Source organism: Homo sapiens, chromosome 3 (assembly GCF_000001405.40).
Source record: "Homo sapiens chromosome 3, GRCh38.p14 Primary Assembly".
NCBI lineage: Eukaryota > Metazoa > Chordata > Mammalia > Primates > Hominidae > Homo > Homo sapiens.
Genome location: NC_000003.12, coordinates 180,501,653 through 180,523,422, shown reverse-complemented (window position 1 = coordinate 180,523,422; position 21,770 = coordinate 180,501,653). Strand labels below are relative to the sequence as shown.

At 36.7% G+C, this 21,770-nt stretch overlaps 1 long non-coding RNA gene across 1 annotated transcript in view, besides 2 other annotated features; it reads left to right on the top strand.

Annotated features, from left to right (window-relative positions):
• The window catches only part of TTC14-DT (TTC14 divergent transcript), a 121,249-nt gene that overhangs the window by 78,691 nt on the left and 20,788 nt on the right, over positions 1-21,770 (top strand). The gene's annotated exons all lie outside the window — the stretch shown is intronic.
• Positions 6,112-6,612: an enhancer, noted in NCBI's record as "H3K4me1 hESC enhancer chr3:180234599-180235099 (GRCh37/hg19 assembly coordinates)". NCBI's record gives its function as "activates a minimal SCP1, AML or CMV promoter by ChIP-STARR-seq in naive H9 embryonic stem cells {active_cell/tissue: H9 hESC(naive)}" and the evidence as "EXISTENCE:reporter gene assay evidence [ECO:0000049][PMID:30033119]".
• Positions 6,613-7,113: an enhancer, noted in NCBI's record as "H3K4me1 hESC enhancer chr3:180234098-180234598 (GRCh37/hg19 assembly coordinates)". NCBI's record gives its function as "activates a minimal SCP1, AML or CMV promoter by ChIP-STARR-seq in naive H9 embryonic stem cells {active_cell/tissue: H9 hESC(naive)}" and the evidence as "EXISTENCE:reporter gene assay evidence [ECO:0000049][PMID:30033119]".

The window sequence follows — 21,770 nt, the reverse complement described above, 5'->3', positions numbered from 1 at the left end:
TTTAAGCATGTGGAATAGTAAAGAGCAATGTAATCAAAGAAAAAGGAGTTTTAATTCGACGTTTATTTCATCAGATTTTCATAGCTTGATTTATGCATCTCAATAGTAAGAATATACATGCCAGGAAGACCAGATGTTCATTTTCACTGGGCAACCTTCACCTTGGGTAATGCTTGAATGGCCTCCAACTGTGTTTACTTCTGCACCACTTCCTTATTCCTGCTCTAGTACTAATAAGTCTGAGTGAATACACTGCTTAGATTTGTAAATATAGTTAGTGTTCTGTTTCTTTAAAATTATGTAGGTATGGGGTTTCCATTTGAGGTAATGAAAATGTCCTGGAATTAGATAGTGCTTATGGTCGCACATATTGTGAATATGGTATACTAAAAAACACAGAATTGTACAGTTTACAATGGTAATTTTATGGTATGTGAATTATATCTCAAGAAACAAAGGAAAAAGTACATAGAACTAGTTTAGATATGCATTATCCCCATGAATATCATTGTCAACAATCCAACATAGATTAAATAAATTAAAAAACAAGAACCAGGCCCTTTTTTTTTTTACAATAAACTTTCGCTATTTTTATACATGTTGGTCACACAAAGCTTATAGGTTTTCAATATGGGGAATTAGTGCTCCCTTCATAATCCTTTGTTTAGTTATGATTGCACAATGACATACATTTGTTGTAAAAATGATTATTTTAATTGCCATATATACACTTTCAATAAGTGTATACCGTTGTGTAATTCTTTTTTTCTCCTTATTAACCGTTAAGTTCAGGAGTATATGTGCAAATTTGTTATATAGGTAAACTTGTGTCATGGGGTTTTTTGTTTTGTATAGATTATTTCATTACCCAGGTATTAAGCCTAGTATTCATTAGTTATTTTTCCTGATCCTCTCCTTCCTCCCGCCCTCCCCATTCTCTGGTTGGTCCCCCATGTCTATTGTTTCTCTCTATGTGTCCATGTGTTATCATTATTTAGCTCCTACTTTAAGTGAGAACCTGTATTTGGTTTTCTAGTCCTGTGTTAATTTGCCAAAGATAATGGACTCCATCTCCATTCATGTTCCTGTAAGGGAGATGATATCATTCTTTTTTATGGCTGCAGAGTATTCCATGGTGAATACGTACCATATTTGCTTTATCCAGTCTACCATTGATAGGCATTTAGGTTGACTCCATGTCTTTGCTATTGTGAATAGTGCTGCAGTAAACACACATGTGCATGTGTCTTTATGATAGAACAATTTATATTCCTTTTGGTATATAGGCAGTAAGGGATGGCTGGGTTGAATGGTAGTTCTGTCTTTAGGTCTTTGAGGAATTGTCACACAGTTTTCCACAATGGTTGAACTAATTTACATTCCCTGTAACAGTGTGTAAGCATTCCTTTTTCTCAGCAACCTCGCAAACATTAGTTATTTTTTGACTGCTGTGATATGGTATTTCATTGTGGTTTTATTTTCATTTCTTTAATAATCAGTGATGTTGAGCTTTTTTTTTCATATGCTTGTTGGCCGCATGTATGTCTTCTTTTGAAAAGTGTCTATGTTTTTTGTCCACTTTTTTATGGGATTGCTTGTTTTTTTCTTGTAGATGTGTTTAAGTTCCTTATAGAGACTGGATTTTGTCAGATGCATAGTTTGAAAAATTTTTCTCCCATTCTGTAGGTCGTTTACTCTGTTGATGGTTTCTTTTGCTGTGCAGAAGCTCTTCAGTTTAATTAGATCCCATTTGTCAATTTTTGCTTTTGTTGCAATTCCTTTTTCATCTTTGTCATAAAATCTTGGCCATTCCTATGTCTAGAATGGTATTGTCTTGGTTGTCTTCCAGAGTTGTTACAGTTTTGGGTTTTACATTTAAGTCTTTAATCCATCTTGGGCTGATCTTTGCATATGGTATAAGGAAGGGGTTTAGTGTCAATCTTCTGCATATGGCCAGCCAGTTATCCCAGCACCATGTATTGAATGTAGAGTCCTTTCCCCATTGCTTGTTTTTGTCAGCTTTGTTGAAGATCAGATGGTTGTAGGTGCGTGGCCTTATTTCTAGGCTCTCTATTCTGTCCCATTGGTCTATGTGTCTGTTTTTGTACCAGTACCATGCTGTTTCGGTTACTGTAGCCCTGTAGCATAAAGTCAGGTAGCATGATGCCTCAAGCTTTGTTCTTTTTGCTTAGGATTGCCTTAGCTATCCGGGTTCTTATTTGGTTCCATATGAATTTCTAAGTAGTTCCTTCTAGTTCTGTGAAGAATGTCATTGGTAGTTTGATAGAAAGAACATTGTATCTCTAAATAGCTTTGGCCATTATTGAATCTCCAAATAGTATTATGGCCATTTTAATGATACTGATTCTTGCTATCCATGAGCAAGAGATGTTTCTCCATTGTTTGTATCATCTCTATGATATTGATTCTTGCTATCCATGAGCAAAAGATGTTTCTCCATTGTTTGTATCATCTCTGATTTCTTTGAGAAGTGTTGTAGAGCTCTTTTACCTCCCTAGTTCGCTGTATTCCTAGGTATTTGTGTGTTTATGTGTGTGTGTGTGTGTATGTGTGTGGCAATTTTGAATGGAATTATGTTTCTGATTTGGCTCTTGGCTTGATGGTTGTTGGTGTATAGAAATGCTAGTGATTTTTATACATTGATTTTGTATCCTGATACTTCACTAAAGTTATTTTATCAGCTTAAGGAGCTTTTGGGCCAGAACTATGGGGTTTTCTAGATATAGAATCATGTCATCTGCAAACAGGGATCGTTTGATTTCCTCTCGTCCTGTTTGGATGCCCTTTATTTCTTTCTTTTGCCTGAATGCTCTGTCCAGGACTTCCAATACTACATTGACTAGGAGTGTTTAGGGAAGACATTCTTGTCTTGTGCTGGTCTTCAAGGGAATGCTTACAAGTTTTCCCCATTCACTATGATGTTGGCTGTGGGTTTGTCATAGATGGCTCTTATTATTTTGAGGTATGCTCCTTCATTATCTAGTTTATTGAGAGTTTTTTTAACATGAAGTGGTGTTAAATTTTATCAACAGCCTTTTTCTGCATCTATAGAGATGATCATTTTTTTTGTCTTTAGTTATGTTTATGTGATGAATTACATTAATTGATTTGTGTGTATTGAACCAACCTTACTTCCCAGGGCTAAAGCCTACTTGATTGTGGTAGATAAGCTTTTTGATGTGCTGCTGGATTTAGTTTGCCAGTGTTTTCTTCAGGATTTTTGCATCAATGTTCATTATTGGCCTGAAGTTTTATTTTTTCACTGTGTCTCTGACAGGTTTTGGTATCTGGATGATGCTGGACACATAGAATAATTTAGAGAGGAGCCTCTCCTCTTCAATTTTTTTGGAATAGTTTTAGTAGGAATGGTACCAGCACTTCTTTGTACATCTGGTGGAATCTGGCTGTGAATCAGTCTGGTCCAGGGCTGTGGTAGGCTATTTACTACTAATTCAATTTCAGAGCTTGTTATTGATCTGTTCAGGGATTTAATTTCTTACTGGTTCAGTCTTGGAAGGGTGTATGTGTCCAGGAATTTATCAATTTCTTCTGGATTTTTTAGTTTGTGTGCATAGATGTGTTCATAATATTCTCTGATAGTTATTTGTATTTCTGTAGGGTCAGTGGTAATATCGTTGTGTCACTTCTAATTGTGTTTATTTGGATCTTCTCTCTTGTCTTCTTTATTAGTCTAGCTAATGGTCTATCTGTTCTATTAACTTTTCAAAAAAAAAAACAAACTCGTGGATTCACTGATCTTTTGAATGTTTTTTTGTGTCTCTGTCTCCTTCAGTTCAGCTCTGATTTTGGGTATTTCTTGTCTTCTGCTAGCTTTGAGGTTTTTTTGCTCTTGGTCTCTAGTTCTTTTAGTTTTGATGTTAGGTTATTAAATTGAGATCTTTCTAACTTTATGATGTGGGCTTTTAGTGCTGTAAATGTCCCTCTTAATACTGCCTTAACTGTGTCCCAGGGATTCTGGTATGATGTGTCTTTGTTCACATTAGTTTTAGAGAACTTCTTTATTTCTGCCTTAATTTAATTATTTACCCAGAAGTCATTCAGGAGCAGATTGTTCAATTTTTACGTAATTGTATGGTTTTGAGTAAAATCTTGATTTCTAATTTGATTGTGCTGTGATCTGAGAGAATGGTTGTTAGGATTTCAGTTCTTTTCCATTTTTCTGAGGAGTGTTTTATGTTTAATAATGTTGATTTTAGAGTATGTGCCATGTGGTGATGAGAAGAATTTATATTGTTATTTTGGGGTGTAGAGTTATTTAGATGTTTATCAGGTCCATTTGATCCAGTGCTGAGTTTTGGTCCCGATTATCTTTGTTAGTTTTCTCCCTTGATAATCTATTACTGTCAGTGGGCTGTTGAAGTTTCCCGTCATTATTTTGTGGGATTCTAAGTCCCTTTGTAAGTATCTAAGAACTTGCTTTATGAATCTGGATGTTCCTATGTTGGGTACATATACATTTAGAATAGTTGGGTCCTCTTGTTGAATTGAACCCTTTGCCATTTTGTAATGCCTTTCTTTGTCTTTTCTGATCTTTGTTGTTTTAAAGTCTTTTTTGTCTGAAGTTAGGACTGCAACCCCCACTTTTTTTGATTTTCATTTACTTGGCAGATTTTCTTCCATCCCTTTATTTTGAGCCTATGTGTGTCATCATTGCATGTGAGATGGTCTCTTGAAGACAGCATATCATTACATCTTGGGTCTTTATCTAGCTTGCCACTGTGCCTTTTAATTAGGGCATTTAGTCTATTTACATTCAAGATTAATATTGATAAGTGTGAATTTGATCCTGTCATCATGATGTTAGCTGGTTATTATGCAGACTTATTTGTGTGGTTGCTTTATAGTGTTGCTGGTCTGTGTACTTAAGTGTGTTTTTGTAGTGGCTGGTAACAGTCTTTCCATATTTAATGCTTCCTTCAGGAGCTGTTATAAGGCAGGTGTGGTGGTAAAAATTTTCTCAGCATTTGCTTGTCTGAAAAGGATCTTATTTCTCTTTCACTTATAAAGCTTAGTTTGGCTGGATATGAAATTCTGGGTTGGAATTTTTTTGCTTTAAAAATGTTGAATATTGGCCCCCAATTTCTTCTGGCTTACACGGTTTCTGAGAGATTTGCTGTTTATCTGATGAGATTTCCTTTGTAGGTGACCAGGCCTTTCTCTCTAGCTGCCTTTAACATTCTTTCTTTCATTTCAACCTTGGAGAATCTTGTTATTATGTGTGTTGGGGATGATCTTCTTGTGAAGTATCTTACTGGGTTTCTCTGCATTTCCTGAATTTGAATGTTGGCCTCTCTAGCTTGGTTGAGGAAATTCTCATGGATGATATCCTGAAATATGTTCTCCAAGTTGTTTCCATTCTTTTCATCTCTTTCAGGGACATCAGTAAGTCATAGATTTAGTCTCTATGTAATCCTATATTTCTCAGAGGTTTTGTTTGTCCCTTTTCATTTCTTTTTCTTTATTCTTGTCTGACTGTCTTGTTTCAGAAAGCCAGTCTTCAGGCTCTGAGATTCTTTCCTGAGGTTGGTCTATCCTGCTGCTAGTACTTGTGACTGCATTATGAAACTCTCATAGTGTGTTCATTCAGCTTTATCAGGTCTGTTGTGTTCATTTCTATACTGGCTATTTTGTCTGTCAGCTCCTATATCATTTTATTGTGATTGTTAGCTTCCTTGGATTGGGTTTCAACATTGGATACTCCTGTATCTTAATAATCTTCCTTCCTATTCATATGCTGAATACTATTTTTGTCATTTCAGCCACCTCAACCTGGTTCAGAAGCCTTGCTGGAAAGGTAGTGCAGTCATTTGGAGGAAAGAAGGCACTCTGGCTTTTTGAGTTGTGAGAGTTCTTGAACTGGTTCTGTCTCATCTTTGTGAGTTGGTGTTCCTTCAATCTTTAAAGTTTCTGTCCTTTAGATGAGTTTTTTTTTTTAATCCCATTTGATGACCTTGAGGGTTTGATTGTGGTATAAGGTGGGTTTTGTCACCTAGCTTTGTTTCTGGAAGATTTTAGGGGGCCAAATCTCAGCTCCCAACTCCTGGACTGCATGTTGTAACTGGGGGACTTATATTGGGCCCCAATTTTGTTCTCTAGCTCCTCTAGGTTTGGAGCTCACTGTGCTGGGGAGTTCAAAGTGCTCTTGAGCTGCTACTCATTACACTCCAATGGGTGGTGTCAGCCAAAGCCTTTCATAGGATGATAGCATTGGGATCCATCCTTGTTTGCATGTGCCAGCATCAGCGGCAATGCAGTGGGGTGCACATTTGTTGGCTGTGGCAGGATGCTACTGGATTCCAGAGTGCCTGCCTCCATGTGGGAATTCATAGCAGTGGAGGAGGCAGTGAGGCTGGGGACACAAGGGGCCCCCCTTGGTGACTGTGCAGGTGGTCATTCTGGTGGTGGTGTTAGCATGGGGGCAGGGTGCTGGCAGGCCCAGGTCTGTGTGTGTCCTCTGTGGCCATTCAGGGCAGGGGAGAGTCTGCTGTTCTCTTTGCCTAGTTTCATTCTGGTGGCAGGGTCGGGCAGGGGCAGGTCACTGGTGTGGGAAGGGCTGGCAGGCTTTGTGCCCACCAAGGCTCTGACTGCAATGGCGGGACCGTGGGGGCAGAGTGTACTCTTGTTGGCAGCAGAGGCAGGGCAGCACACACATGCTGGCAGGGCAGGGAAGGCAAAATCTACCCACACATACACGTACAGGCAAAACCACATGGAGGGTGGCTGTGGGCCTGAGGGGAAGCTGCAGTGAGGGGAAGGAGCGGTCAGGCTACTGTGTTGCTGCAGGGGCACCCTGGTGGAGCTTGCTGCTAGTCAGGTACCACCAGCACAGGAGCTATGATGCAGGCCTCCAGGACACCCAGGGCTGCACAGCAAGCAGGCACAGCCAGGCTGGGGCCTCAGGAGAAGCCAGCAGACCAAGGGGTACTATGGTCAGACTGGCCTCCTCTGATGGGCAAGACCACCCCACAGAGATCAAGTCCAACAGTTCCCCAAGGCCAGAGTCTCCTATGGGAGCAAGTTGAGTGTAGAGGGATGGCTGTCCCTGGCCATGCTCTATTACAGATGCTCCTACACTAAAACCTTTGGGCTCCGCATTGGCTGGCTTGCTGCCTCACCACTTCTCTAAGGAGTTCTCCCTGCCAACTGAAGTGTCCATGGTAGTCGAGAGATCTCCTGCCAGGATTCCAGGGGCCCTTGATGAGAGCGGGTTGCTCCTTGCCAGTTCAACTCATTCATTCCCCTGGAGTCTTTTAGAACTGGGAACGAGTCCTCATGTTTCTCCTTCTTCAGCCCAGCTTCTGTGTCTTCCCTCCATCTACTCTCAGTGCCCTCCCTCTGAAGATCTGTTAGAAGTGTGCCAGTCATCCTGGTCCCTCATTGGGAGCTGTTCCCCCTGGCTGCATCTAGTCAGCCGTCTTGTCTGAATCCTGTAAATTGTTTTCTATTTTAAGTTTGTTCTGATGACATTGATTGAAATGTAATATTTGGCCTCTTGCATCTGATAATAAAACTTTTGAGTTTGAAACAATTATGCATGTTTCTGATATGTTTTATTATGTGTTGTTTTTATTAATTATAGAGGAAAATGTTGTTTTCCAGTTCTGGGCAGGAAGCTAACTGTTGCCTTACTTATCACCGAATTTATTTATAATTATGGAGTGTTTTGTACATTTTTTTGAGGTGGCAAAGATAACTTTAGCACAGTAATTTCTTTTGCAAATACATTTTTTAAGGACCAAAATTACCCTAAAATTTTTCTTTTGTTATTAGGAAACCCGTTTTGTTCTGCACAAAGCTTGGTTTGGCCATGGATAAGGAACTTCAGAAGATTAGGGAGAAATCTATGAAATTGTTTCACCATCTGTTAGTGATGTAGAAACATGTCATCATAGCTGCTGAGGTATTCTTCACTTTTCTCCCCCTTTTCACCTTATTCCTTCTTTCTCATCATGCTTTTCCTTTTTAACTAAGGTTTATAATATGGGACTAACATGCTCTCATTTATCTACACCCCAAACCTGAAGTCACTACAAAGGACTCTGTCTCCCTCAATCCACATCAATTTGTCACTACATCCTACTGATTCTGCTTCCTATAATCTCCTTTTCTGTCTGCTCCTTTTTACCCCACTGCTATAGGTCTTCACAATTTTTTCATGTATCTTCTATCACTCTCCAAAATGGTCATTCCCCATTCTCACCTTCTCAATTCTGCAATCTTAGTCCTATAGACAAGGTTATTTTTCTAACATGCCAATTTGATTGTATAACTTGACTTGTTTCAGATGAGTTCCTGTAGCCTTCAGGATATGGTTCAGATGCTATGGCTTGACACATCAAATCCTTTGTGTTCTGGTGTCTGAACATTTATTCAGATCAATTTTCTGCATTGTTAGCACCTGCATTCTTTGCTCCAAACCAAATGCACCTGAGGCTTTTATTCATAAAGATCACTTTCTCATTTGCCTTTTCCCCACTTCTTTGTTCTGCCTAGCTCAGTTAACTCTTACTCATTCTTCTAATTTTTGTCCAATCATTACCTTTATTCTAATGGTATTCACAACTACTGTGGCTCAATTTGATGCCCTTTATCTGACCCCCTTAGCACCTTGGCATAGCACCAAGATTCTGGTAGGTGCTCAATAAATATTTGCTGACTGAACATGTGATAGTTAATTTTATTTAAGAACTTGGCTAGGCTATGTGCACAGTTTTTTGGTCAAACATTAGTCTAGATGTTGATGTGAAGGTATTTTGTAGATGTCATTAACATTTATAATCAGTTGACCTTAAGTAAAGCAGGTTATGCTCCGTAATGTGAATGGGGCTCATCCAATCAGTTGAAGGTCTTAAGATAAAAAAATGACATTTCCTGGAGAAGAAGGAATTCTTCTTGAGTTTGCTGCCTGAAGGAGTCTTGCTTAAGTTTGCTGCCTACTGGCCTGCCCTACAGATTTCAGATTCAAGACTACAACATCAATTCTTGTTTTTCTCCAGCTGGCCAGACTGCCCTTTGGATTTTAGACTTCCATCCCCCATAATTATGTGAGCCAGTTCTTTAAAAATAAATTTATCTTCTATCTATCATCTATCTATCTATCTATCTATCTATCTATCTATCTATCTATCTATCCTATCTATCTATCTATCTATCTATCTATCTATCTATCTATCTATCATCTATCTGTCATCTCTCCTACACCAAGAGGTTATATATAACAATCCTATATGTAATATGTGTGTCTTCTTGGTTCTTGGTTCTGTTTCTCTGGAGAACTCTGATTAATACATAATGTATTAATAAAGTTGAGGATGCTCTGAACATACATTATTCCAATCATTTGAATAATGCTATACATATTATAGTTTGTTATTTGAGGATATAAAAGAATACAATTTAATTACATTTTAAGTTTAATTAAGCTTTTACAGGAAACTTTTTTTTTTTTTGAGGCAGGGTCTTGTCCTTTTGCTCAGGCTGGAGTGCAGTGGCACAATCATGGCTCACTGCAGCATCAACCACCCAGGCTCCTGCCCCAGCCTCCCATGTAGCTGGGACTGCAGGTGTGTGCCACATGTTCTGATGATTTTTAAATTTTTTTTGTAGAGACAATTATCTCACTATGTTGCTTAGGCTCGTCTCAAACTCCTGGGCTCAAGCAGTCCTCCTGCCTCAGCCTCTGAAAGTGCTAGGATTACAGGTGTGAGACACTGCCCCCAGCCAGGAAACCTCTTATTAAAGTTTTACTTGTTAATAAGTTTATGTGCAAAATTTTCAGTGGATTAAGTCTGTCACATTTAAATATTGTATTTTCGTAGCAATACATGAAGTGAAAAGAGGGCCTTTCCATGGAGCGTTAAGGAAGCCCAGCTTTAAAATGACTATTGGGATTATTACTGGCAATCTTGATTCTAATCCTTGCTTTTTGTTCACTAGTATTTTGGTGATAGAGTTCTGGTCAGTTTTGCAAAAATAACCTGAAATTCAAAGTATGGCTTACTCTCCTAGTTACAAGTTTTTATTAAATGCTAAAATATGTGATAAATTGGTGGAGCCCTTTTGAGCTAATTTCTGTTTATTTCCCTCAAATGTTCCATGAAGAAATGGAGTGCAACAATGGAATTTTATAGCTCTACAGGCATTGACTTGTCCTTTATCTAAGGCATTATTCACCTCAGTGGACAGATTAATTTTCTTTCATCTTGATATAAGAAAAAATAGGTTTTCAATATGAAGCAAAAATGAGCCAAAGAAAATAAATGTGCCCACATGAACCAACATTTTCTCTAAACCAAATAATAAGTGTAATTTTGAAATTTAAACAATTGCCAAAAGCTTATAAGATAAATTTAAAAATAAAACAAATATTATGGAAAGATAAGAGTTACAATAGCTACAAGTTCAGCAGTCTTCTAATAGGTCTTACTTTTGTTATTATCAGGCAGTTTTGACTTGATCCAACATGGTGCCAGTTGAGCTAAAATTTAATTCAACAATTATACTCCTACTGATAGTAAAGCACTATACTAGTCAAACGCAAAAATATATTTAATTTGAAACAGTTTGATATAAGAACAATAATAGAGGTACGCAAAATATTTCAGAGGGACGATAGCTATAGAGTGAGAATAATGTTAAGTGGTAATAGTTGGATATGGTTCATAGAATTGGAATTGGAGTTGGGCCATGAAAAATGATCCAGTACTTTGACTAACAGTTTTGGGAGTGAGGAAGAGGTTTTCAAGCATCAGAGCCATTTGAGCATCATAAGGAAGACTCTAACGGCAGGAAAACACAAAGCTATTTGGAGTAGGGTTTCAATTCCAGATAATTGTCTGGAAAGGGAAATCCTGGCACCCAGGAGACCAGTTTAAAGGCCATTTTAGTGATCCAGAGGAGCACGATGAGAATCTGAGCTCAGGCAGTGGCAGGAGGAGAGATAAGGGGGTGAATGTGAAAGACAGTATAAAGCTATATTTGATATTTTAAGGTCTTAGATAAACTTTTTAAAAATGAAACTTTCTTCATAAACAGACTTCATCTAATAATCTAAATTAAATTTGAAGGGAAAATTCAAATCTTGTGTGAATTTAAATATTTAACATGAGTATTGTTACCTCTCCTAATCAAAAGGTGGGTCCTCAGCATGGAAAACACAGTCAACTCTAGATTACTGCGAAAAGATAGGTAAGAGAGTGCTGGGCTGTTTTAAATTCAGATGCTGAGTCTTAATTAAACTTAATCCCAGGGTACTGACAGGGCTTGTGGTTATGGTCACAGGCCAGTTATTTGTGATCTTTGAAGGACCGTGCAGAACAAGGATGAACAGTATACAGAGATAGATAATACTTGTTTCAATTATCAAAAGGTGGTGTGTGTGTGTATTAAACGTGGAGGGTAGGGAAATATATTTTCTAGGAATAGAATTATGAATTTAACAAATATTCCTAGAAGAATTCTGGAAAAGATATATTGAAGAGTAGCTTTGTGTCCATAGAAAAAAGATGTCTTATATATTAGGAAACATAAAGTGTTCAAAGAACGAGTTATGCCAAACTTAGTTTCTTTTTATTTAAATTTTTATCATATTAGTTGCATATGTTCATTAAAGACAATTTGAATCACCCAGAAAAGTATAACAAAACAAATAATCTAAATATAATTTTTACTGACATTTGTGTGTATTTCTTGCCCTTATGTTTTGGGTCTTCTATGTAATGTATTTAGAGTTCATTTTTAAATGTAATATTGATTAGATAAAAAAATACAAATATCATTTCAAAAAGATTTTGGCAAATAGTTCTGCAACGTTTGTAATGAAAATTAGCAGTCACTTACCCTATCCCTTTGGATCCCAGAAGTAACTCTTATTGTTTAAGCTGTTTCTTTTGAAATTTACTTTTGTATTAATAATAACAGATTTATTTTTACTATGATTACCTGACTTTTCAGATCTATTGATTTGCTATAATGGAAGATGAGAATTTGCTCTTGTCCACCCATCCCCCCAACCACTTGAAAACATACCCACACTCACTTTGTTTTCTTTGATATTATGTAATAATTTTTGTTAAATATTTAATGTCTATATTATTATGATTATTATATAAATATAATTTCCAGCCCAGCTCTTCAGTGTACTCTGATCATATTTCCTTTCTTGTAAAACATTTTTACTCGCCTAGTTTTTTTTTATTTGCTTAGTTTTTAATGTACTTTTTATTAAGTAAAGTGCTTGTCATTCATTCATGTAAGCCAATCCCTCAGTTTCATCTTTTCCTTGGTGATGTATCTGGACGACATCTTTGGAGCCATCTGACCTCAGTCTCCAGAATGGATAAGTTTCTCTCTGAACCTGCTTCTCAGCTGGCTTCTTGGGATTTACTTTTCTTCATAGGTATCCTAGGGATTATCTTTACTTTTTTCCAGTATTGGATCCCCTTTTTTTCTGGATTTCACGTTTTCCCATTTCTAGATTTATTCTCTTCTTTTGGTGCGACACATCCTTATGTAGCTTTTTGAGAAATAATTCACTGAAGTAAAATTTTGAGACTTTATATATCTGAAAATGTCCTCATTTTACCTTTACTTTTATTAATAGTTTTCAGGAATAGAAGTCTAGGTAGGGACTATTTCTCCTTCAGAATTTTGAAGGCATTTTTATGTTTTGGTTTATCCTTTCATCTTTTAAAATAAAAGACAATGAAAGTAAATATGTGTGTATGTATACATACATATGGATAGATTCCAACTAGTCCTTCTGTTTTCAGTCTCACCGGTACCCCTACCTTTATTATTACATCCAGGTTCTGAGCCTCTCTGGGATTATACATTTTAAATCAGCTAACATTTTGGCTTTCCCGGGCACATTTTTTTGTTGTTGTTCTGTTAAATTGATTATTTTTCAAATTCAAAATTTTATTTTTATCATCCCTTGTCTGCTGTCTTATTTTGCATATTCTTTGTCCTTTTAGTTTTATGACTCTAAAAATTACTTTACTGGTTTTGTAGTGGAACTAGTCTGTTTCTGCAGAGTTTTTTTTCCCCAATTTATATTCTACTCTGTGAAAGCCTATATCTTACATACTCTTGTGTAAACATTGGTTAAATAGAAATAACTGTTATAGGAAAGGGGTCCTGATCCAGACAGACCCCAAGAGAGGGTTCTTGGATCTTATGCAAGAAAGAATTTAGGGTGAGTCCACAGTGCAAAGCAAAAGCAAGTTTATTAAGAAAGTAGGGGAATAAAAGAATGGTTATTCCATAGACAGGGCAGCCCTGAGGGCTGCTTGTTGCCCATTTTTGTGGGTATTTTTTGATCATATGCTAAACAAGGGGTGGAGTATTCATGCCTCCCTTTTTAGACCATATAGGGTAACTTCCTGACATTGCCATGGCATTTGCAAACTGTCATGGCACTGGTGGGAGTGTAGCAGTGAGGACGACCAGAGGTCACTCTCATCACTTTCTTGGTTTTGGTGGGTTTTAGCTGGCTTGTTTACTGCAAATTGTTTTATTAGCAAGGTGTTCATGACCTGTATCTTGTGCTGACCTCCTGTCTCATCCTGTAACTTAGAATGCATTAACTGTCTGGGAATGCAGCCCAGTAGGTTTCAGACTCATTTTACCCAGCTCCTATTCAAGATGGAGTTGCTCTGGTTCACATGCCTCTGACATAACTGCATAATACTACATAAAATTAATGTACCATCTTTCTTTTATTATATTTACATATCTATATATTTAAGGTATACAACATAATATTTTGACATAAATGATTACTACAGTCAAACAAATGAACATATCCATCACCTCACTGTTACTCTTTTGTGTGTGCATGTACCATCTTCCTTAACCTTTCTTTTACTATTATGTATTTCCATTTTTTTAACAATGAATGTGTTTTTGCATAAAATTTTTTCAGGATGTGGAAAATGATGTCAACTATGAATGAATTTACTAATGGTAGGCTGCAGGATCCTGTACTTAGCTTTGTCCTATTAGCTTTGTTTTTTAGTGACTTTAATGAAGTAATCTTTCAAAAGCTTCTTTGCCTGTAAGATCAGGTTTAGGACAGATTGAATTTACTTTGCATGATTCCAGAAGGCATAATGTGGATAAAAGTTTTAAGGAGGCAGATTTTAGTTTAAGAGAAGAATTCTAATATAGTATTTAGAGTCATTCAAAAAAGAAACAAAGCTGCTTAGTAAGAAAGTAGGCCCCTCTTTGCTAAACAGTGAGCTCTAGGAGGGCCAGGACCATCTGGTTCTCTAAAGTCCAACCAACCCCTAGCACAGGGCTTTATAGAGTGGGCATTTAATAAACAGGTATTGAATGTTGAAAGTATTTACTCTAATTAACCATGTGATAGAATTGTTATAGCACAAAAGATGCCTATTCCTAATGAAAAATTTACCTCTAAAACCCTTCAGAGGCATTCTGCATCTGAAAGGACATCCTAAAAGCCAACAGCTGATAACATGGGGAAAAAATAAATTCAATATCTAAAAGTCTTCCTTTAGACATCTGCATAGAACCATTGGTGATATCACTTTTTTTGATAGATAGCTCACTTAGATATGTTGTTTATTTCAATAGTCAGAGGATTAATGACCTAATTTGCTTTAGTAGTGCTTCACATGGCTCCATTTTTTTTCTGCCGTGTAATCACAGGCCATCGTTCTCTACTTAAAGCTGATTACCAAGAGAGTTGTTTTTCCCCTCTTGGTGTCCTCTTAATTTAGCAGAGTCATTTCATTTTGATCATCTTTTTGCCAAAATAATGAAAAACCAAATTACCTAACAAATATAAAACTTATACATTTTTGTATTTAATAATTTTTTACACGATAACAACTTCTTTGCATGTATATTTGCCTTTTTTCTTAGTATGTACATTTTGCTTAAACAGCCATCATTATTTTGCCTTATTTACATGCTTTACATGCCCTAGGAATTGCAGGAAATTTATATATGGCAAAACTTTAGTTCTTTATAAGCTATCTGCTATTACTCTGAGTATGAAGTTCAAGTTAAAACAATTTGTAAAGTCCTTAAAAGAGACATGACCTTTAGTACTCCTTGTATTGCTAAATAGTTTATGTGGTTTCATTTACAATCAGCCATTTCAAAATTGAACATGAAATTAGCAATTCTTTACATCATTTTCCTATTCCTATTTATATGGAGTTCATGTAAGTCTAAACTCTGATAACATTTTATCTTTCTTATACACCATTTACCCTTTTGACCATTTGTTTGTACTGGCTAAAAAGAGCCAGATTTCTCCAGGGCAGTACCCATGATTGAGTTGTCTGAATTTCCTGAAAACTTCTACCAAGAACTTGATAAATATTTGTGAAACAGATTAAATTAAGTATATAACTGAATCCAATTTTTTTGGTGAAACTCATTATATAAATGTAACAGAAAAAATAATATTTTACTGACTGACATCAGAGTTCCTACTATGAAGAGTATGGTCTTGCTTAAAAAAATACGTGATAAACTGCTTTGCTAGGTGGAAGGTGATGCCTCAAGGGAAACCATTCTGTGTAAGAAATGAATACATATTTCTAGGTGTGGGTGAGCAAAAATAAGAGGAAAAGGAAGGACATGGATAAAGGTTTGTGTGTTTGGAAGGAGAGGCTTCCGAACTACATGGCAGGAAGCTTGCAGCCTCTGAAGAAAGTGGGAAATTCCAGCTTTGGGGTGGTCAATAATACCTATTCAATAATACATAAGACTAACATTCCAGTTGAAATTGTTTGTGTTGCTGTATGAAAACCCCCAGGGAATATGGTTCACCGAGGATAAACTGTGGAGAAATTAATAAGTTGCCTAAACTCTTAAAGCCATTAAATAGTGGGGCCAGGATTTGAATCTAGGTGTTCTAGTTCCAGAGGCAATATTCTTGATAACTATACATGTTATGTACTACTGTACTGTTTGGCGTAGTAAAAAAATCTAAGACACAAAAAAAGGTGAAACGATCTTAAAGTATCAAGTGAAAAAAAAAAAAGGTAGATCAGCAACCGAGAACAGCCGTTGTCTCAAGTTTCAGCACTGTTGTTTCTTACCTATGGTAGAAAGATTTTTGAGTTATCTAGTGCTTTGTTTCTTAATTTCTTCAAGTTTAAATGAGAACCATGCCTAACTTGAAGCCTTTCATGGGAAAGTTTTGAGAAGGAATTAATACATAATTGAAACATTTAAGTGATGTAGAGAAAGATCTAATAGAAATTACAAGGTCATGTATGAATACTAAAGATAATTTGAACCATCAGCTAATCGTCCAATGGAACTGGATAGTGTTTCAGCTACTAGTTGAGTTGAAAAATGGAAAAGACAAGTAATTCAAGCTTCGAAAGATATTTCCTATATCTTGAATATTTTCTTAGTGGTGAAATATGCTTTGAGGAAAAACAGATGCTGGATTGGGTGACCCCTTGACCTTAGCCAGACTTAATTTTTTTTTGAATTTCTTATTTTCAGTTTATTGTTTTAACATGTTATATGCACAGTAAATTCATCGTATAAAGAGGGTTTAGGATGCTTCCCTTTGTTATTAATCCCCAGTGTGGACAAATGTACAGTCAGAGAGGAACTGGAAAGCAAATTAAAGTCCTTTGGATCAAAGTCTATAGGAAACTAAATGGTAGCAGCCCATTGATCACCCACACAGTCTGCCAATGTCAGAGCAATTATACTGGGCCAAAGACACTAAGTAGAAAGTATTACACAAACAAATTTAAAATGGGTGGGATGGAGGCCTATAGCACTTTGCTGGGATCAAAACAGTTCCGGTGAAGAGACAGAGTCTCAGTGTATGTTCAGTTCCCAAGAAACAGTAATTTGAGAGGAAGCTCCATAATGCAATTTAGTAATATTATTTTCCACTTATAGTTCAAAATAGAGTGATTGCTTCCCATGAGGTCAGTGATCTTTGTAAAGTGAAATATTATTGTGATAAAGGCAAGGAAAGACAAGCTAATAAATAAAGAAAAAAACCCCAAAATCATCAAAAAAGAAAAGTTCAATTTGTAAAAACAAACAAAAAAAATACTTGGATTATGTTGTATTATTGGTTTAAAAAATTATAATGAGGACTTAGGAAAAAAATGAGGAAGAGGAAGGGAGGAATAACATGGAAAAAACCACAGTCCTTCAGGAGTACTTCAGGAGAACGAATCCAGCCTGAGATAGGTCTGGGTGACTGGTAATTGACACTGAGACCCAGAAGATTTCATCCAATTTCACATAACAAGGTCGATAAGTTTTTAGGATTCTCCTGGTGATTTTTTTCTCATTTTCTTTTTAGTGATTAATGAAGTGTGATTTGCAAAGTGAGGGCTTGTACATTTCTTCATTAGCCCTTCATGTGTAATTTCTGTGGAAAGAGCCTGGTGCTAGAACCACGAGGCTGTGAAAACAAGACTTTGACTCTGCCCTCAGGGAACTTACAGTTTTATAGGGGAGACCCATATCTAAAATAATATTAAAAAGGTAGAAAATGGTAAATCTAAAAGTGTAGTTCAGATATAGTCCCATGAAGACTTAGAGGTAGGAAAGATTACTTACGTCACTGGAGATGTGAGAAGGATTTATGGGGAATTCAGGTCATATGTCCCAAGGAGAGTGAATAATTATATTTGGTTAGAACCTAGGATATGATGTAACATTTCTGGTGGTTGACATTTAGGGTTACAAAAACGGCCCCTTCTCTGTGAGTGTCTAAAGTTTGGGGTATGGACTGCAGCATGATTTAGTAGCAAATGGGCCTAATCTAATCCTTTCACATACTCTAAGTCACAGCCACGACTACTCACCTTTCTATTTTTTCTAGGGGAACTTGACCCAGGTTCGTTCCATGGCGCTGTGTCAGAACTCAAAAAAAGGATTCTTTCCCATGTTGAATTCCATTCATATCATTCTGTGGGCACTATTTATTTAAATATTTTCTTTTACTTAGAGATTTAGTTCTAAGAGATTTGCTTTTATAAAGGCCCTTGGGTGACACATACTATAAGAAATTCAGTTTATTTTCAATATATTTGTATTAATTCTATTGAATAGATTATTGGTTAAAGGAAAATCTATTAGTATTTAATGACACTTGCTTTTTATGACATTGCATGCTCATATATAATCACAGTGAAGAATCAGAGGGTACCCTATATTATATAACATGAAATATTTTGAAGAAATTTGATCTTGAATTTTACTTCAGATTTTCACCTTTTAGGTTGTGCTTAACTAATAATTAAGTGTGTAACAGGCACTAAAACTGGGTGTATATATATATTCATATATATTTGTATCTATATATATTTGAAATTTTTCTAGCAATTTATGAAGTTAGGAAGAAGAAAGTCAGTCAACCCTAGAGCTCCTAAGAATTTAGTGATTTGTTACTTAACATCTCTTTCAGCCTTGATCAACTCTCAGTTTGCAGTTATTACAAAAGGTATCGACTTTTCACCTCTTACTGGGAAAATAATCATTAAGGCCTCCTTGACATCTCTCCTATTCATTGCCTTCTTCCTCTAACAAGTGCCAGATCTATTTCAGATCCTCATTATCTCTTCTCTCGACTATGTCAAGGGCCTCCTAATTGGTCTCACTGTCTTCTGTTTCTGTCTCGGGGAAACTAACCCAACTCCTAAGAAACTAATCATGCTAAAATATGGCATGGATTATGCCATCTTCTTACACAAAATTATTCAGTAATTCCCTATTGCAATCTGATCTAAGCTCAGATAGCTTGCCTTGATTTGCAAGGCCATCACAATCGATTTCCTTCATATAACATATGTTCGAGTCAAAGTTGATAACTGCTGGCCAGGCATGGTACCTCATGCCTGTAATCCCAGCACTTTGGGAGGTCAAGGCAGGCATACTGCTTCAGCCCAGGAGTTCAGGACCAGCCTGGCCAACATCGTGAAACCACGTCTCTGCAACAAATAATAAAAAAATTAGCCAGGCATGGTGGCATGTGCCTGTAGTCCTAGCTACTAGGGAGGCTGAGGTGGGAGGATCGCTTGAGCTTGGGAGGTCAAGGCCTCAGTGAGCCATGATCATGCCACTGCACTCCAGCCTGGGTGAAAGAGTGAAGCCCTGTCTCAAAACAAGCAAACAAACAAGCAGAAAAACAACCCACCAAACTTGATAACTTCCCTGTAAATTGGATAAAAGTTGATAACTGCCATGTGTCACTGGAGATGTGAGGATTTAGGGGGAAATCAGGAGGCATGTTCCAAGCAGACCTCTACACTTAAACACATAATATCTGGAAAGTCCTTATTATTTCTAGTTGTAAGAATCCTCATCATCATGCAAAGTAACAAGCACTTTCAGCCTAATTCTGTCATGCCTCAGCCCCTCCCAATCCAGCCAGAAGTAGGGGGTTATCCTTTCTCTGAACATCCGAACTCTTTCTTTGAGCTACCTTTATGATAATTACCACAATCTGCCCTACATTATCAGTTTTTGTGCACTCACTTAAGCCTTTCCTATACTGTAAAATCCTTAAAGACCACAGTCACGTCTTACTATCCTCACATCTCCCATAGCACCTATCCCGGTGGTCTGCATATTGTTGTTACTTAATCGATTCTGTTCCTTGGAAGATGTATTTAATGTAATTTTGACCTGCCCAAAGGTTATGATTGTTATCCATCTTATTGGTGGAAATTGGGGGCTTCCAATAACTACTTTGAGTTAGTTATCCTAAAACATCTGACATATTTTAGGTCATTTTTTAATGTAAAATATTTTAATTAAAGTTGATATAACTGGACATAATATGAGAAGAGTGACAGAAAAGAAAATGCTACAGATTGTACTTAAGAATTTGTTGAGCTCAGAATAAGGAAGCAGCATCAGTTCCAGAAATATCTGCTAGTTAAGACCCAAGAAGTCAAACATACCTAACCATCGTGCATATCACATTCTCTCAACAGGAGGTGCCAAGAAGAAAAGGAGCAATCTACCATCTGCTAGGCCATCTGTTTCATAAGACCTATTCCTTATTTAGAGCCATTGGGGTTTTCATTTATTTTAAAAAATGATCAGCATCATCAAAGACCCCAAGTAAGAGCATATGATAATATTATCTAATAGGCATCTAGGTTAGCAGCAGGTTCTATTTTTCTCCAAGTTGTTTCCCTGTTGAATCATATCCTTCACAATGTATGTAATATGGAAAGAGCACAATCTGTGAATCAGAAGCCCTAAGTCTGAATCCTAACTCTGCTTCCTACTAACTTATCTAGGGCAATTGCCTACATACCCGACCTTAAAATTCTTCCCATGTAAAATGGAAATAATAACGTACCTCACAGGATGTGAGTCAAAATGTAAGCTCCATAAAGGCAAGCATCTTCATGTGTTTCGTTCACTGATGTATCCTAAGGACTCATAACATTGTTTGGCATATAGAAGATGCTCATTCGATACTTGTTGAATGTGATAATGCTGAAATAAGATTGATACCTATAAAAATGCTATAAAGACTGTTATTCAAATAATAGAATTCCAGGATAAGGAGCTTAAGGATTTATCTAATTCAGTCTCCTTGATTTATAGATGAATAAACTGAAGACTGGAAATATTGAGCAGCACAAGATGTTATAGCCACATTCCTTTTTAAAATTGTGTAATCAACCGGGTGCAGTGGCTCACGCCTATAATCCCAGCACTTTTGGAGGCTGAGGTGGGTGATCACTTGAGGTCAGAAGTTTGAGACCAGCCTCACCAACATGGTGAAATCCCAACTCTACTAAAAATACAAAAATTAGCTGTGTGTGTTGGTGTGTGCCTGTAGCCCCAGCTACTTGGGAGGCTGAGATATGAGAATTGCTTGAACCTGGGAGGCAGAGGTTGCAGTGAGCCAAGATCACACTACTGCAGTCCAGCTTGGGCAACAAAGTAGACTCCATCTCAATAAATAAATAAAATAAATAAAAGTAAAATTATAATTTTACTTTTATAATTAAAATTATAAAAGTAAAAGTATAATTAATCCATCACCTTAGTACAATGCTTTACAAACTTCAGTCTTCTGTATAAAACTTTCTCTATTTTTGCTATATTCATATACTTTAATATTTACTTACTACTCTTCTTTAGGTTGAGTTAAATCATTGAAATTCAATACTTACTTTAGCCTTGTCTTAAGCAAGAATGTTTGTGCAATAACATTTTGTTGTTCAAGCAATAGTTTTTCAATACACATTAAGATAAAAAGTGTACACTTAGGTATGACCTAAAATTGTTTTTCCAATTTCCAGTCATGTGTATTCCATGCCCTTAGAAAAATACTACCTAAAACCATCTGGGATGTATTATGACTCTGTGTGAACATTCTTCATGGAATAAAGTAGCAAAGAAATTTCTAATATGGTCAATTCACAAGTTTTTATATGAGAATAGAGGAGCATATTACCACAGGATCTGCCTTGCAAGAGCTCCTGAGGGAAGCACTAAATATGGAAAGTAAAAATGGTTACCATCCACTACAAAAACATACTGAAGTACAAGGACCAGTGACACTATGGAGCAATCACATAAACAAGTTTGCAAAATAATCAGCTAGCATCATGATGACAGGATCAAATCTACACATAACGATACTACCCTTAAATGTAAATGAGCCAATTAAAAGACACAGAATGCCAAGCTGGATAAAGAACCAAGACCCATCAGTATGCTGTCTTCAAGAGACCCAT